The 18,358-nt window shown below is 43.2% G+C and overlaps 1 long non-coding RNA gene across 3 annotated transcripts; it reads right to left on the bottom strand.

Annotated features, from left to right (window-relative positions):
* Positions 1-456: 456 nt before the first annotated feature.
* LINC00486 (long intergenic non-protein coding RNA 486) lies at positions 457-17,613 on the bottom strand. 3 transcript variants are annotated; one of them, NR_183190.1, is made up of 7 exons: positions 17,544-17,613; positions 6,320-6,480; positions 5,649-5,743; positions 2,125-2,284; positions 1,821-2,041; positions 1,147-1,259; positions 457-1,015 (listed from the first exon to the last, which is right to left on the bottom strand). It is a non-coding gene; the product is annotated as a long intergenic non-protein coding RNA 486 (long non-coding RNA). The 3 variants fall into 3 exon arrangements; NR_183192.1 differs by having other exon boundaries at positions 6,320-6,420; NR_183193.1 differs by having other exon boundaries at positions 457-2,041.
* Positions 17,614-18,358: the final 745 nt, after the last annotated feature.

Genomic DNA, 18,358 nt, shown 5'->3' with positions numbered 1-18,358 from the left:
ACCCCCTGATCTTCTGCACCCCTACTGGTTTCCTCCACCCATAGAGGTGAGGAGAATCACAGCTGCCAAGAAGTTGAAGATGGTTCTCAGGGAAGGCTATGGGCGGTGGGGTGGGGCAGGTGGGTGGCGGGGCGGGGCAGGTGGGGCAGGGCTTTAGCTTTGGCAGCAACCTGACAATTATAGGACTCAATCTTGGCAAATGCAGTCAGCAGAGAATCAGGGCTGGTTTCAGTGTGTTGAGTCCAGTAGGCTTCCAGGAGGTTAAAAATGTCTGAGGCATGTGTTTGACAACCATTAACAAACCTAAAACAACAAAACCCTTTAGAGACACAAGAGAAAGGAACAATGTGACCAGTGACATTCTCAACTTCCCAAACACTCCTGGTTCAGAAGAGCTGGGAGACATGCAGTCTATTTTAGGGGTTTTATCAGTGACATTAAAAAACCAGTAACACATTTGATATTTCACTTCAATTATTTATCTAAGGAGCCCCTGGGTACGTACAGATACGGAACCATTGGTTGCACAGTAGCCCAGAAGACAGTGTGGGATGCGAGGCCCTAGGAGCTGGGAATTCCTTCTTCCTTGTTCTGACCCCTGCAACTGCTGCCAGAAAGGTTTATGAGCCCTCATCATTTATTATGTGACTTTTCTATATTTGGAAACACTTTGGGGGAAAATTTTCCACACTTAGAAAGTCATTACCCGAGTCTCCAGTACATACATTTTTCCACGCCCTTCTTTACACACGGAAAGGTTTATCATTAAGAATGTTCATTTTAAATGCAGTTGAAGCAGAGAGACACAGAGATGATCCCCGCTCCCCAGAGGTTCTGGTCCGTAGCAAGTGGCACACTCTGCCCCTCCTACGGGTCATTCGTGGTGGCTTTTGGAAGGCTGGATGGAGGTGGGGTGTGGGCAGCTTTTTCAGAGATGGAGTAAGTGTCCTCTGTGCTTCTGTGAGGAGGAACTTGGCTCAGGCTCTGAAAGGCTTCTATCCTTTCCTGCCTCATGCTGGAAATGAGCAAGTCACATAAGCAAGTCACATAAGCAAGTCAAGAAGGGTGTATTAGTCCCGTTTCACACTGCTATAAAGAATTTATAAATTTATAAATTTATAAAGGGAAGAGTTTTAATTGACTCACAGTTCAGCATGGCTGGGGAGGCCTCAGGAAAGTTACAATCACGGCAGAAGGTGAAGGGGAAGCAAGGCACCTTCTTCAGAAGGCGGCAGGAATGAGAAGGAATTCAGGAGGAACTACCAAACACGTATAAAATCATCAGATCTCGTGAGAACTCACTATCACAAGAACAGCATGGGGAACTACCCCCATGATTCAATTACCTCCACCTGGTCTCTCCCTTGACATGTGAAGCTTATGAGAATTACAGGGATTATAATTCAAGATGAGATTTGGGTGGGGACACAAGGCCTAACCATATCAAGGGGCTAACATGGTGAAACCCCGTCTCTACTAAAAAATACAAAAAATTAGCCAGGCGTGGTGGCGGGCGCCTGTAGTCCCAGCTACTCGGGAGGCTGAGGCAGGAGAATGGCGTGAACCCAGGAGGCGGAGGTTGCAGTGAGCCGAGATTGTGCCACTGCACCCCAGCCTGGGTGACAGATTGAGACTCCATCTCAAAAAAAAAAAAGTACAATTATTTCCTCTCTTCTTGTGACAAAAGTAGAACCTGTTGATTTCAGGAATATACAGGTAAGAAAAGGCAAAGGCACGTAAAGTTCCATCATCTTAGGGAAAATCACTATTACCACCCAACTTTCATCTACGCATGTATAATAATGAAAGTAGTAACTTACTGAGGGCCCAGCATGGGTCAGGAGCTGGGCTGTGTGGTTTATATCCACCATTCCACCTAACCCACACAACCGGTCTGCTGGTCACTCGACTGGGTCCCAGCATGGTGTGTGGATGGAGTGAGGGCTCCAGAGCCAGGCTACCCGGTTCCAAGCCCCACTCTGCCACTCATGAGTGTGTGATCTCCAGCAAGCTGGTTAGCATCTGTGCCTCAGGTCCTCACCTGTCAAATGGGGGTAATAACAACACAGGTGTCACACGGATTTTCAGGAGGATTAAATGAGTAAATAGGTGTAAAACACTTACTGCTTGGTACTCGCAAGTGCTCAACTCAGCAGAGTCACCTATTGTTTCCTTTGTAGAAATATGGAAGCATGCTCAGAGAAGTCAGTGACGTGGTTGAGATCCCACAAGCATTAACTGACAAAGCCAGATTTGAAACTTAAATCTCTTCTGAGTCCAGATCCTTTATGATAGAATATACAAGAGAGGCAGAGAAAAAAATCAGCATTCCCCCACTCCTTAACATTATTCTTTAAGTTGCATACATCTTCTGCTCACTGTATAATACTCCAGCCCTAGATGTGCCCTTGGCCGAGTCTTAGCCAGTGGGTAGAGACCTAGAGGAGTTAGCAAAGGCTCAGCTTTGTTTAGTGCAGTGCCGTCAAGCACAGGAACCCCTGGGCCTCTCACTGACAGGCAGATTCATTTCTAACAAGTCCCCAAGTGAGTTGATGCTGCTGGTCTGAGAACCACACTGCAGAGAGGCTTTGGGGAATTCTGGCCAGTGGATCTGCTTTCGCTGGGACCTTCCTGCTGCTGCCTCTTTGGTTTACACAGTTGCCTTCCATCTCCCCTTGTGTCCCGAGTCTGGAACTCAGAGTCCATCGGTACCACGCATCACAGCCTCCGAACTCCGGAGGCAGGTTCCTCTGCTGGAGCCCGGGTGGACTCACCTGGGGCCCACCCACCTGGGGGTGCCAGGTCACATGTCCCAGTCAGCAGTGTCAGCTCTGGGGGTTCTGCACAAACACTGCTAGGGTTGCTGCTGATCCCAACTGTCTGAAACACTTCAGGGGACATGTGTTTAGGATTCAAAAGAAAAGAAAGATTCACACTGGAGTCAAGCCAGTGCTGGGGGTGGTCGGGAGCATAGGAGGGTGTGAGGCCACAGCTTGGTAAGGGATCATCCACCTCCCACCAGCAAGCCCATGGCGTCAAGTCCTTCCGTTCTAAAACCTCTGGGGTCCTCAGCAATACACACCACTATTCCCATCTAGTGACCTCTGGGAGCCCATCCCTCAGACAGGACATCCTTCAGAATGTAAGGGAGGTCACCTTTGACACCCTCTGTGGAAACTCCAGGTAGTGGCGACTGAATATGAGACAAACTAAGAATTCTGAGTGCGGTAATCAGAGTGGGCATCATGTGAGTGGAATAGCCCCAGCTGTCCAAACCCCTAACATGAAGGAAAATTCTGTCTTAAAAAGGTCTTTCACTGATTTTTCCATGACGACTAGCTTTTCACTCAGTTGTCTGTCCCAACAGATACCAGTAGGTCCTGACAAAACCTAAATTATGGGGAGAGAGACCCTGGGAATTAGGAATTTCTTCTTGCCTTCTTCCTCAGGACACTCTGTTTCTACAGCAGGTGATATCTGTGAGGGCTGGTTCGGTTTGCTGCTATTTTCGACATTTTAGAATGAGTTTCCCTCACTTCTGGGGATTTTCCATGGGGACATAAATCTCTAAGCCTCATTCTAGCAAAGCGTCCTCATTGCTACCTCAATTGGGACAAGTGAAATATTTGGAAATTCCCATGGCCTTGGCCAAGACCTTGAAGGGGCAGGTTTTAAAAAGTTCTAGATTCCCTTCTTTCCATGGCAGCCAAGGGCACATTTCCCTAGCACAGCCAGTCCCCCTGGAAACAGCAAGCCCCTGAATTGGAGGCCCCTGGAAGCCTGCCTATGTAGGCCCAAACGTAGCATGAGAATCCTCAATGTACGCAAATAAGCAGAACAGGAAACTCATTTATTAAGCTAAGCCTCCCAGTGTTGGGGGGAAACTTCCTGTTATCAGACATCTGAGAACGGGGTCAGGCCTAGTCCCTCCAGCCCCTGTGACCAGGACCCTGGCTCAGAACCAGAAATCTGCCTGCTGGGCCTGCCATAGCAGGAACAAGGCTGATAGGAGGCAAGCTTGGCCTTTCATGTCAGGTCTGTCCCTTCCTGGCCGTGTGACCTCTTGGAGCCAATGTTTCTTTAAAATGGGGACAAGGATACCTCACGGGGCATTGCGAGAGTAGGGCAACGTATTTAAAAGTGATTTGAAAGCTGTCAAGTGTTAGTCCATGGATAATATCTGGGTTTATTATGAAGATTACACTAAATAAGAAACATACATATACACAGTGGTGTTCTGGTAAATGTTTAACAACTGGCTTTCTAGAGGGGAAAATGCCCCGGTGTTTAGCATTTGTCCATTTCCATGCTGTAATATTCCCACCAGGGCTCATTTCAAAGTACTAGTGTGATGTCACTGAATGTCAAGTTGAGAAGAAAGGTACAGAGTTGACCCCTCCGGGCTGGTGTGAGCCAGCGGAAGCACACCACTGTTCATATATTTCACTTCCTCTTATATAAAGCACTTAGCACAGTGCCTGGAAAACAGGGGTGTTGACCTCCTCGTCCTTCTCTTTCTATTTTCATTAGCTCGAGGTTCACCAGCAGATAGGGAAATGGCAGCCCCACCCTGTCCTGCTGAATCTGAATCTCCGGATGGTGTGTGTTTTAAAAGCTCCCCGGGGTGATTCTGCTACGCAGCCCTGAACAGGAACCGCAGCACCACGCGGCGGGCTCCCTGGGAGCAGTGACAAGGTCCTGCTTGTGTTTGCATCCCCAGTCCCAAAACAGGGCCCGTCCCATTTGGTGCTTTCCTAAATGAAGTGATGGAAACTCATTATCTGGAGCTAAAATGAAAGGGGTCAGACCTGCGGAGAAGAGTGAGGAGAGCAGGCCCCACCGATGGCCACGCACTTGCTGGTTTCTCTCCACTCTTCCGCAAGTCACCCCCATTGGCCTGGGCTGTCCCCATCACCACCAGCCAGGCTGGTTCTGCTGCTGCCCCCTCAGTCCTCTCTGCACAGTTCATCCTGTGGGGCCTGTGCCCACTCACTCCACCTCTCTGAGTTATCGCCTTCTGATCCTTGCAGCCCAGGGCCCTTTCCTGCCCCCTTTCTCTTATTACTGCATCTGTGGAGCTCTTCAAGAGCCACCCAGGACAGATGTGTCAGACTCAGACAAGGATGGGGGCTGTGAGCGCCTGTGTGCCTCTCCCCGCAATTTCCTCCTGCCCCTGCTGCCTTTTCCTGGGAGCTCTCCCCCTAGTACAGTGTGTGTCCCTAAGAGCCCTCAGTATATGTTCTTTGAATAAAGAAAAACAAGCTACTGGGAAGGGATAACAGGAAGGGAGGAGAGGAAGGCATTATAGGTGAATTAATTACTCCAGGAAAGACCTGAAGTAATTGGTGCTTCCTTGACCTGAGTATAATAGCAAAGGAAATTTGATTTTTAAGCCAAAAGTGTTCACGACTCCATCCATCACGGCATATATATGTCCCACCCATTTTTATGTTCTCTCTCAATCCTGCACGCCAATATAAACACCAGCTTCTTGTCCTTCTCAAGGTAACCCAGAGAAAATGAGAAGATAAATCCAAGGAGTAGAAAAAAATTCCTAAGTCATCTGTGTTAGGTACAAACACAATGACACAATTTTCCCAACTACTAGGTATAACAATTGTACTTCGGAGGAGAAAGGAGGAGCTTACGTGCAAATGGACTAGCGTAGAAAAATCCAGCTTTACGTGGTCCTGATGGCAGCATGCCTGAGCTGAAACATACCCTCAGACCAAGTGTGTCTTTTCTGATTTAAAGAAAAAGAGGAAGAGAATTACATCTAAAATAGCCTTTTGGACAGTGTGCTCAGCGCATAAGCACTAATCTGCACACACCCCTGTGAGTATCTTTTTACCCCATCTTGAAGATAAGGTAAACACACAGAGCCTTAGTTAACATGCCAGGCGCACACAATCAGTGAATAGCAGAGACAAAACTAACACAGGTCTCCTGACGGCAGAGCCTGTGGCTCTTTCAGCCATGGACATAGGTTCCAGACGTGGCTAACTGCCATCGCTTTACAGCAAGTCCTCCAAAACAGATCCTACCATTAGAGTTGCCAGGAGCACAGAGGGAGGGAAGCACTTTTCCTTTTCCTTTCTTCTAATGCCCTCCTTCATGGAAGTGAAGCACAAGAAGAGAGAGAAGGGAGGGACAGTGTTTTCAGCAGGGAAAAGGTGACCAGGAACCAGACAGAAATTCTTCAATTCACAGCTGCTGAGTCTACAGGCTCAAGACACCCAGAGGAATGATGCTAGCTCTTAAAAAATAATAAAGCTTAGAGGAAATAAATGATTATTTAAATTAAAATTAGAAGTATTACCTATACTTGGAATTCACCCCGTTGCCTCTGGATTCTGTCTCTGTTAATCCGTTCCGATGAGTCTTGCCCGACTTCTGCCCCAACCAACCTCAGCTAAAGTCCTGGAAGGGAGGGAGTGGGCCTTATTCAACTTAGAACCCTTAGGACCTTGCAGAGAGTTGCTGGCAGAGAGTATATTAAAAAAAAAAAAAAAGTTAAATTAGATTTTCTTTCTGCTACCTTTATTCTCAGGGTAACTTTTCTGCATCTTTCAACTAACTCTCATCCCAGGTTCCCCCTTTCCTCTCAGCTAAGCGCCTTCAACTGGTGCCTCCCCATCTCCTGCTTATGTGCAGGTGATAACAGAGTTTCAGCACTCGCAGAAGTATATTAAAATAATATGTTATGCTCTGAGTCAGAATAGACATTCTTTAGGGCAGGAACAGTTTATTATTACGTTTTGTACCCTAAGCATCTAGCATAGTGCCTGACACATGGGAAAGGCTTATTCAACATCCATTAAATAGAATTAAATCTGGCAAAGACTGGTGAAAAAGTGGGTGTCTAATATCTGAAATCTTTAGTCACTGCACTCTTGAGCAAAAAGTCCCTTGAGGACAGGAGTCACCATGTCAAACTAGTTATTAAATACGGTTCTAAATGCAATAGAAGTGGCTTAGTTTCTAACAGCGGGATTTGTGTATTTTTAGGAGTTGAGTATCCGTTCGAAGCATCATCAATTGAAATCGCCCTGGAATCACCTGTGACTAAACAAGGGAAATGAGTATAGACTACAAAGTGTGATAAACTCACAGCCTTATTGAGAGAAAAGAACAAAACAAAACATACAGCATCCGCTCTCAGGTGAGCTCTACATGGGCAGAGATCCCGTAGAGAGGTAAGTAGGCAGCTTCCACACCTTCTGCCCAAATCACAGCATTACAGAAAGCCAGAGTGGAATGTTGGGCTCTGCCTGTTTCTTTACTGCAGAGCTTCTTAGAGACTTTAGTCATCTAATGCCCAGGGCGGCTCTTCATGGAGGGTGTCTTAGTCCATTTTGTGTTGCTATAAAGAAATAGCTGAGGCTGGGTGATTTATAATGAAAAGGAGTTTATTTGCCTCTGCAGTTCTGCAGGCTGTACAGGAAGCACGGCACTGGCATATGCATCTGGTGAGGACTTCAGGCTGCTTCTACTCATGATGGAAAGCAAAGGGGGACAGGCACGGTGGCTCACTCCTGTAATCCCAGCACTTTGGGAGGCCAAGGTGGGTGAATTACTTGAGCCCAGGAATTTGAGACCAGCCTGGGCAACAAAGTGAAACCCCGTCTGTTTAAAAAGAAAAAAAGAAAGTGAAGGGGAGCCTGTGTGTGAAGAGAACACGTGGTGAGAGAGGAAGCAGAAGAGAGAGGGGAGGTGCCAGGCTCTTTCTAAACACCAGCTCTCTTGAGAACTAACAGAGTGAGAACTCACTCACCCCTGAGGGAGGCCATTAATCTATTCAGGAGGGATCCACTGCCATGACCCAAACACCTCCCATTAGGTTCCACCTCCAACATTTGGATCAAATTTCACAATGAGATTTGCTGGGGACAATTATCCAAACCATAGCAAAGGGACAGAGCGCACTTGGTTTCTCACACTACTTTGGCCATAGAATCTCTGTTAACACAGAAATTCTGTTAACACCATCTAGGTAATGCTGCACCACATCACAATCTGCCCTTCATGAAATTCAATTCTGCAAACACTGTGTGACCATCTCTTCACTATGCCCAAGGAGATGTTCTAGGTTGTAGGAAGGGCCACCAAGAATGAGGGACAGTTTCTGCCCTCATGTAGCTTTTGGTCTCACATGGGAAATCAGAAGAGGCTGAATCAGAGAAGAGTCAGAGAGCAAATCAGGATGAGGGGAAGAGCATGCAAATACCCTAAACAAGGCCAAAAGTGGTGTTGCAGTGTAAGGGGAAGAGGCAGAGTACCCGGCTTAGAGGTGGATGTGGGACCTGTAAGAAATCTCACGAAGGGGTGGTCTTGAGGAGACAGGCTTTCCACAGCAGACATGAGGTAGAGTAAAGCAGGGAGAGCACCAGAAGGGCAGCAGGAGAAAAGACAGATGGGGAGGGCAGGCTGCAGTGTGGAAAGGGTGGTCAGGAACCACCCCTTGGGCATAAGGTACCAACAAGGAGTGGTGTGATGGGGAAGAATCTTGGGAGGGTGGTTTGGAGTCACATTATGAATGTCACAGCAAAGAGTATGTATTTCATGCAGAACTCCAGAAGGTCTTTAATCAGAGGAGTCACATTTTAGACCACAGAGGCTTCTTAATGCCTGCCCTTATATAATCTGTTAGTTTACAAATAATTCTCTAAGGAGATGACTTATTTTGACACAATGTGACATAGAGTGAAAGCATATCCAGTTTAATTATTTTGTCCATCTATTATCTTTGAGATGATAAAATGTATCCAGAAATATATTTTGTAATAATTAGTGACTAAGTGAAATCTACTGTATTAATTACCTACTGCTTTATAATGCAGTGCTAAGATACAGTTAGCAACTTAAAAACCACACACATTTATTATCTCATGGTTTCTGAGGGAGAGAAATCCAGGCACAGATGAGCCAGGACTAACCTCAGGGTCTATCACAGAGCTGCAGTCAAGATGTCAGCCTGGGCTAGGGTCTCATCTGAAGGCCCATCTGGGTTTGCCCCCAAGCTCAGGTGTTTGTTGGCAGGATTTGGTTCCTTTAGGGTTGCTGGGCCACCTGACTTCCTCAGCTCCTTGCTTCCTTCAGGGCTATGGGGACAGTTGGCCCAAGGCCATCCCTAGTTCCTGACCACATGGTCCTCTCCCGAATGGTGGCTTGCTTTATCAAAGGCAGCCAGGAAGTGTTTCTGCTCGCAAGATAGAAGTCACTGTCTTATGTAACCTACTCATAGAAATGACATCCTTTCAATGTTGTCAATATTTTATATAGACACAAGGCACTCCAGGGATGGGGATTCCACAAGGCTGAGAATACCAGGAGCCAGAGATCACTGGGAACCGTCTTTCAGGCTGCCTGCCACATTGACACTTCACAAAATTCCCAGGTCAGAGTAAACTTATGAAACACTCATAACATTTCAAAATAATTATATCCCAACCGTACCTATAGAACTTGGGATCAACATGGTGAAACCCCGTCTCTACTAAAAATACAAAATTAGTTGGGCGTGGTGGTGCATGCCTGTAATCCCAGCTACTTGGGAGACCGAGGCAGGAGAATCGCTTGAACCCAGGAGGCGGAGTTTGCAGTGAGCAAGATCGCGCCATTGCACTCCAGCCTGGGCAACAAGAGCAAAACTCTGTCTCCAAAAAAAAAAAAAAAAAAAAAAAAAAAAGAACGTGGGATCAGTGTGGGGAAGCAGTCAAAGATAAATAACCCTGTCAGTCACTGCTCCCCTTAGCAAGACAGGACTCCATTATAAGAACAATCATGGAGGAAGGAAAGTCACCCCACAGACCCCAGAGAACCCCTCTTCCCTGCCAGCCTTGTATCCATCCTTAGGACTAAGCTCAGCCAGTCTGCTTTCATTCAAGTCCTTAGACTCTTGCAGGCATTGGGAAAGGAAAGACACTCTTTTGTTCTGTGCAGATGAAATAAGATACTCTTCATTCAGTCTGGTTCATACCCCTTCCTGGGATTGCCTCTTTCACATAAAGAATGTACCAGCAACATTCCTTAAGATGAGAAACCAAATGTTGTCAGGGTTGATTTGTGATTCTCGGAGGAAGAAAGTAAAGACAGACAGGGGAGGGTTTATCTGGATGCATGTAACAGTTAGGGAAGGACAGTTGGATTGGCTGGGTCAGGAGACGGCTAATAAAATACAGTGTCTTTGATCTGTAGGTCACCAGTCTATTTAGGGTTGCCCTGAGACATTCCCTTGAAATATGCATTTTTGGAATTCTTCCAGAAAAACTTCAAACCTTAGCTTTATCTTTTTCTTTTTTGTAGTGTGCTGGATTTTGATTTATCATTCCCTATGAAGTTGTGGGTGAGATTTCACCTTTGTTTGTCCAAAACCATCCAGGCACACAAAAGTGTTCTCCCTATAACCGGTGGTATGTGGATCCTGCCAGGATATGACTATCGGTATTTCTACTACAACTTGGTGAGAAATCACCCCCCTAACCGGAGCTGTGAAGTGGAGGGTCTCAAGGCTGTGCTATTCAACTTGGCCATCAGATGTTAACAGGGGCCTTTTCCATCAGTCTACAGAGCCCAAAGGGAATGCCATAGGATATTAAACATGTCAGCACCATGCTTTTCAAGAAGAAATGTGAGAAGCTGGCTTTGGTCACCAAGATGACCACACTCAATCACTGCCTATGCTGGCCTGGGTTGCCTTAGGTTAGTACCCCCCTATTTATCCAGACAGCACAGGATCTTAACTGTATTAGACAAAAGAAATAAAGAATTTAGAGTGCAATGTCAAATTATCCACATTTTTGCCTTAGGGTAAAAGCACCTTATAGTTGTAAAATGTTGTTATATTTTGTTTAAGGAGGTGTTTGGTAGTGGGGGTGGGTGGGGAGTTAAAGTTACATGGAGTTAAGTTTGGGTTTGTGTTGCCAAGTTTCACCTCAAAATGCAGTATGATTTTTCAAAAGTCAATTTTATGAGTTGTGAGAAAAATTACTTGAGGAAAGAGCTCAGGTCTCCTCAAAAAGAAGGAAAAGACAAAGAGGTAGAAAAGTGCAAAAACGTGGAGAGGAGAAGGCAGACATTCAGGTTCACATTAAGAGTTGACTGCACTCTTCCTAATATCTTAATGCTTTTTACTGTGAAACACAACACACATTTGGGAAGAATGCACAAAACAAAAATGTATAACTTGATGATTTGCCAGAAGAACCATGTTAGCCATGAGCCCAGTTAATAACTATGATACTGCCAGCTCCCCGGAAGTCCTTTAGTACCATTCATCCACCACCCATTTATACCCACAAGAGTAGTCATTAGCCTGTCTTTGGTGGTGATCACTTCATTGCTTTCCTTTATAGTTTTTATACTAAGCATGCATCACTAAATAACACAGTTTAATTTAATCTGCTTTTTGAACTTATTATATATGTGGAAATATGCAGCATGCACTTTTTAAATTTTTAATGTTTTTAACATCTGGCTTCCTTTGCTGAACATAGTGTTGGAGAGATTCACTCATGTTATTGCCGTGGTATGGCTAGAACATTCACTTTCACTGATGCAGACCACATCATTGCATGAATATCCCACCATTTATGCATCTATTTTACTGTTGGTAGATATTTAGATTTTCTCAATTTGGGGACTATTATAGATAACGCTGCTATAAGCATTTTTGTATGAGAGTTTTGGTGCCTGCATTTGTGCTTGGGTATGTGTGTGCACCCCAGGAGTAAAACTGTTCAGCCATAGGGTATGCATATCTTCGAAGTTTGCAGATATTGCCCAGCTGTTTTCCGGAGTGTTTCTATCAAGTGGTGCTCCCATTAGCATTGTTAAGAGTTACTCCTACTCCACATCCTAACACTTGGTATGCAGAGTCATTTTAACGTTAGCCATTCTTTTGAGTATGTGGTCCTATCTCTTTATTTTAATTTGCATTTCTCTGATGACTGAGTGTATTTTTGTATTTTTCTTTGGATATTATCCTCTTTTGCAAAATACTTGTTTTTTCCCACTTGATTTTTTTCTTATTGATATATAGTTTTTACATTTTTAAACTTTTCTTTTAGGTTCAGGGGTGTATGTGCAGGTTTGTTATATAAGTAAACTTGTGTCGTGGAGGGGGGGTTTGTTGTTCAGATTATTTCATCACCCAGGTACTAAGCCTAGTTCCCAGTAGTTATTTTTTCTGCTCCTCTCCCTCCTCCCAGTCTCTATCCTCAAGTAGGCCCCAGTGTATGTTGTTCCCTTCGTGTCTATGAGTTCTCATCATTTAGCTCCCACTTATAAGTGAGAACACGCAGTATTTGGTTTTCTGTTCCTGCGTTAGTTTGCTAAGGATAGTGACCTTCAGCTCCATCCATGTTCCCACAAAAGATATGATCTCATTTTTTCTTGTGGCTGCACAGTATTCCATGCTGTATATGTACCACATTTTCTTTATCCAATCTGCCGTTGATGGGCATTTAGGTTGATTCCATGTCTTTGATATTTGAATAGTGCTGCAATGAACATTCATGTGCATGTGTCTTTATGGTAGAATGATTTATATTCCCCTAGGTATATACCTAGTAATGAGATTGCTGGGTTGAATGGATTTTCTGTCTTTAGGAAAATTACCATACTGCTTTCCACAATGATTGAACGAATTTATACTGCCACCAGCAGTATATTAAGTGTTCCCTTTTCTCTGCAGTCTCACCAGTATCTTATTTTTTGACTCTGTAATAACAGCTATTCTGGGTTTGAGATGGCATCTCATTGTATTGATTTGCACTTCTCTAATGATCAGTGATATTGAGCTTCTTTCCATATGCTTGTTGGCTGCATGCATGTCTTCTTTAGAAGAGTGTCTGTTCATGTCCTTTGTTCACTTTTTAGTGTTTTTTTTTCTTGTAAATTTGTTTAAGTTCCTTATAGCTGCTGGATATTAGACCTTTGTCAGATGCATAGTTTGCAAAAATTTTCTCTCTATCTGTAGGTTTTCTCTTTACTCTGTTGATAGTTTCTTTTGCTGTGCAGATGCTCTTAATTAGGTCCCATTTGTCCATTTTTGCTTTTGTTGCAATTGCTTTTGGTGTCTTTGTCATGAAATCTTTGCCTGTTCTTATGTCCAGGATGGTATAGCCTAGGTTGTCTTCCAGGGTTTTTATAGTTTTGGGGTTTACATTTAAATCTTTAATCCAACTTGAGTTGATTTTTTTTTAATATGGTATAAGGAAGGGGTCCAGTTTCAATCTTCTGCATATGGCTAACCAGTTATCCCAGCACCATTCATTGAATAAGGATTCCTTTCCCCATTGCTTTTGTCAGCTTTGTTGAAGATCAGATGGTTGTAGGTGTGCAGCCTTATTTCTGGGCTCTCTATTCTGTTCCATTGGTTTATGTGTTGTTTTTATACAAATACCATGCTGTTTTTGCTCCTGTAGCCATGTAGTATAGTTTGAAGTTGGGTAACATGATGTCTCCAGCTTTGTTCTTTTTGCTTAGGATTGCCTTGGCTATTTGGGCTCCTTTTTGGTTCCATATGAATTTTAAAATAGTTTTTTCTAGTTTTTGAAGAATGTCATTGGTAGTTTGATACAAATAGCATTGAATCTATAAATTGTTTTGGGCAGTATCGCCATTTTAATGATATTGATTCTTCCTATCCATGAACATGGGATGTTTTCCATTTGCTCATGTTATCTTTGGTTTCTCTGAGCAGTGTTTTGTACTCTCATTGCAGAGATCTTTCACCTCCCTCGTTAGCTGTATTCCTTGGTATTTTATTCTTTTTGGGGCAATTGTGAATGGGATGGTGTTTCTGATTTGGTTCTCAGCTTGGCTGGTTGTTGGTACATAGGAATGTTACTGATTTTTGTATATTAATTTTGTATCCTGAAACTTTGCTGAAGTTGTTTATCAGCTGAAGGAAGGACTATAAGGTTTTCTAGATACAGAATTTGGGATGCTCAACCTGTATGTTTTAGAATCATATTTTTAATTTCCACAAAAAAGTAGACTGGAATTTTTATTAAGACTATTGAATATATAGATCAATTTGAGGAAAAACAACATCTTTACTATACTGAGTTTACCAATTCATCAACATGGTATTTCCCACCATTTTTAAATTTAGGACTTTTTAAGAGTTATTTTATTTTCTAATTGACATATAATAACATGCAGATATTTATGGGCTATAGTGATGTTTCAACACATATAATGTATAGTCTGCCTGAAAATGTTTTTTCCTGCTGATATATGTGCCTTTATCAATCTTTAAAAATATTTATTGCAAAGTATCTGAATTTTTCATGCCATTATAAATGGTATAATTTAAAACTTTTTCCTTTTAAAAATCCTGTAGGCTATGCGTATGTGTAAATTGAGAGGTGATTTTAAAGTCTATGTGGATATTCTGATTTTGAGAATAATTTTCATCAATTCTGAAGAACTGTCAGCCATTAACTCTTCAAATACTTCTTCCCAATTCTCTTTCATATCCTTCTGAAATTCTGATTAGATATATTCTTCTGGAAATCTATCCTCTGTGTCTCTTACCTACTTTTATTTCTCTCCCTGTCTGATGTAGAATGTGCTGAATTATCTCTAGAGCTATCCTTCCCTTCACTAATTCTCTCCTTATCTGTCTAATCTGTTGTTTAACCTACTGGTTCTCAAAAGAGGGTAATTTTGTCCCCCAGGAGACACTTGGGGTGTCGTGATCTGCTGAGATGGATCACGAGTTCAGGAGATTGAGACCATCCTGGCCAAAATGGTGAAACCCCATCTCTACTAAAAATACAAAAATTAGCTGGGCGTGGTGGCGCATGCCTGTAGTCCAAGCTACCTGGGAGGCTGAGGCAGGAGAATCGCTTGAACCCAGGAGGCGGAGGTTACGGTGAGTGGGGATTGCGCCACTGCACTCTAGCCTGGGTAACAGAACAAGACTCCGTCTCAAATAAATAAATAAATAAATAAATATAAATAAATAAAAAATAAAAATTCACAGGACAGCTCCCAACAACAAAGAATTATCCAGCCCAAATGCCAACAGTGTCATGGTTTTACCTATCTTGAGAGAGACACAGAAAGAGATACACACACACACACACACACACACACACACACACAGACACAAAGAGGGAGAGAGAGAGTTGGATTTGTCTGGTTCCTTAGTTCCTTAAGTTGCTCCTCCTCCCTTGGAATAAATATGGAGTAGAGAGAGGCTCCTTTTCTTTTGCTTCCTACCTTGTGGAACAGAAATTTTCTCACTTTCAAGGAATATTAAGGAAAGAGGAATAGGTGTTCTTCCCAACAACTCCTGTATCTGACACCATTTTCCCGTCAGTACCACCCTTAAACCAAGGCAAGAAATCCCTATGCTTTGGGACTTTCTGTTTCTGTCCCTCCTCCAGACACTTTTTGCTTATGCCTAGAGCCTGTATTAGCCCCATCTTCTAGACCACGCTCAGGTAACTGGGACCCCAGGAGTTCCCTGCCCACAGGCCCAAAGCCTGCATCCAGAAGCTGCATGTGCCTCTCTTCTGTGCCCATAATCCTGAGGGTGGAGTGGCGTCTGGTCTGTGCACTCCCAGGTCTGAGTGGTAGCCATGCAGAGCTGTTTGTGGGTGCTGAAGACATGCCTGACACCTGCAGCTGGAGTGTGCACATGTGTACTTGGGACCCTGAAAAGCAGGATAGGGGAAGGGAGCTGACTCTCTCTGCACCCCTTTTTGGTTGAATTCTGAGATGTTTGAGAACTCCAAATTAAAATATGTCCTTCCAAGTCATTATAAAGGAATATCTGTCAAGATCAAAGCATAAAACAAATTTTATTTAACCATTTCTTTGCTTGATTTTTAACTTTGAAATATTTAGATATATAGTAAGCAGGCCTCTATATGTACTCTGGCCTGGAGCTCCACAAATGTTAATGAAGGGCCTGCTTCCATGTGTTTTACTGAAAAGCTTAATTAAGTAAAAACAAACAAAAAGCCAATATCTCTCAGATATATGTGTATTTATTTATATAATAGTCTGGAAGGATATACAAAAAAGTTAACAGGGTTAACTTCTACAGGGGTGGGATTTTGGATGATTTTTTTTCTTCTTGCTTATTTGTATTTTCTAATTTTTTGGAGATAAACATGGGACACTTCTGCAATTTATTAAAGGAGGAGGGTGAACATTAATCAGAGCATACCTATCTGAAGAAATCACCCTATGTCCTACTGATAATGATCAGGGGAATCAACTTCATATGTAAAGCACATTCTAGTGCTGTTCGTGTGTGTGTGTGTGTGTGTGTGTGTGTGTGTGTGAGAGAGAGAGAGAGAGAGTGAGAGAAGGAGCTGGAGCTGTTATGGCATAAGCATGTCTTCTGACCAGACAGCTGTAAAAATCCCAAGACAGCTTTTATCAACCCTGGCACCAGATATCCTCTAGGCCAAATTGATTCAGTAAATAGAGTGATGAAGGACAAGACTGAAAGATATTCTGCAGCATTGTTTCTCAAACCCCAGGGTTCTGACCCCCATGGGATTACAGAAACTGGAGCCAAGTTGCTGCATACTCCTATCCAGGGACTCCACCAGCCCCTGGGAACCGATAGACCATCCACAATGCCCCTTTCTCTTGATCATAACAATAACTAATTGTACACAGTTGCTCACATAGTACTTCACATACATCATCTGATAAATTCAGTCTGGTCTGTAGGGTGGGTATTTGCATTTTTATAGCTGAGGAAATTGGGGCTGAGAGGTTCAGGAGCTCAGGTGTGGTCACAGCTAGGAGGCGGTAAAGCTGAGACTTCATCCAGGTCTTCTAATTCTCTGACTTCATCCTAGTCAGCCACTTCCCCATTTCATCAGTTTTTTGTTTTGCTTTTGCCTGTTACTCCCCATCCTCTTTTTCTTTCCTTTTCTTAGCACCAACCTGAGAAATCCTAATGATGGGAACTTGGTTCTTTCTCGTTTACTTCATAAAAATCCATCATGTTTTCTTCTTTATCCCTTCCCTTATCACCACTTGCCACCCAGAAATGGGGAAAAGGTTGCTATAGAATGAAAATGCTAATAAACATTTTGGTATCACAGCCCAGCAGCACTGAATGTCATCAGGCTTCTGAGTGGGGCACAGAAAAGGTTGTCAGTGTTAATAATCAAATGGTTTCGAAGACACTCTTGCTTGCATCATGTTTCTATATCATTTATTTTTAAAGCACTTTATATGCATCTTCTCAACTGGTATTGTATATAACACCCCTGTACAATATGGATCACTAACAGGCTACAGATAATGGAACTGAGGCTCAGACATTAAGAAACTTCTTCGAGTCTCACAGTAATAGAGTCTTCAAGAAGCACATCTGTCTGTGAACAGCGCTGTGCAATAATTTCTGTGTGCCTATAGATACTGATGTGCATCTGAGCCCTCGATCTGGAAAAAGTTAGCAATGCATGGGTTAGATCCTTAACAACATTAACATGATTTACCCCCCCCTCCCCCTTTCTGGCAATAACATCACAAAAGATTAGAAAATGGCTGATACTTACCGTTCAGAAGACCACTTTAATAATATCAGTTTTCTGCCTCGTAGCCCTTGGCAGGACTCTCTTTTCACAGAACACAATGTTGGCACAGGGCCAAGAGATGGCGAAGTTGACTCAGAGGTCACTGCAGTTTATAAGTCAGAATAATAAAAAGGAAGGCAGATTTGACACCACTGGCAAGGGAAAGATTTTGGTGTTGTGCTAAGCAAACGGATTACAGCTAGCTCTGAGTAACATAGGAGGAGTAAAGAGCTATTGAAGGGGAAAAAGTCCACGTAAAAAGGCAAACCACTATAGTGAGAGCTTGCAAATGCTCTCAAAACTGACCATTGTTATTTATCCTAACATCAAAGAACAAAACAGAATCTGCTCAAGCGAACACTTCTATGAACCAAGGTGAAAGAGACAAGTGCTTTATGATAAAGTATCGAGAAAACATACACACACACAAACTGATTTTTGAATTGGCTTTGCTGAAAGCTACATATCTAGAGTAAAAAGCACCTCTTTCTTCACTAAGCTCCTGCAATTTAAAAAAATAAGAATAGAAAAATTCCAAGATAAGCTCGGCTTTTAACCCATTTATGCTTAGTGTTCCATTATCGGAACGCTAAGCGTGTGAGAGTTATTTATATTCTACTGCTCAAGGTCATCACCAAGCTCTGATTGCAAAAATTTTAAAAATTGCAACCTCCGGCATAAATGGGTTAAGTTCACTTGGTGAAAACCAAATACAGCTACAATTATTATTAGGCCTTGGTGTGTGAAGGACTCCAAGAGTTAAAAGCAAACCAGCACCACCTTTAGCCCATAAGGGA

This window comes from Homo sapiens, chromosome 2 (assembly GCF_000001405.40).
Source record: "Homo sapiens chromosome 2, GRCh38.p14 Primary Assembly".
Classification (NCBI taxonomy): domain Eukaryota; kingdom Metazoa; phylum Chordata; class Mammalia; order Primates; family Hominidae; genus Homo; species Homo sapiens.
The sequence above is the reverse complement of the archived record's forward strand: the minus strand, read 5'-3'. Positions and strand labels throughout refer to the sequence as shown.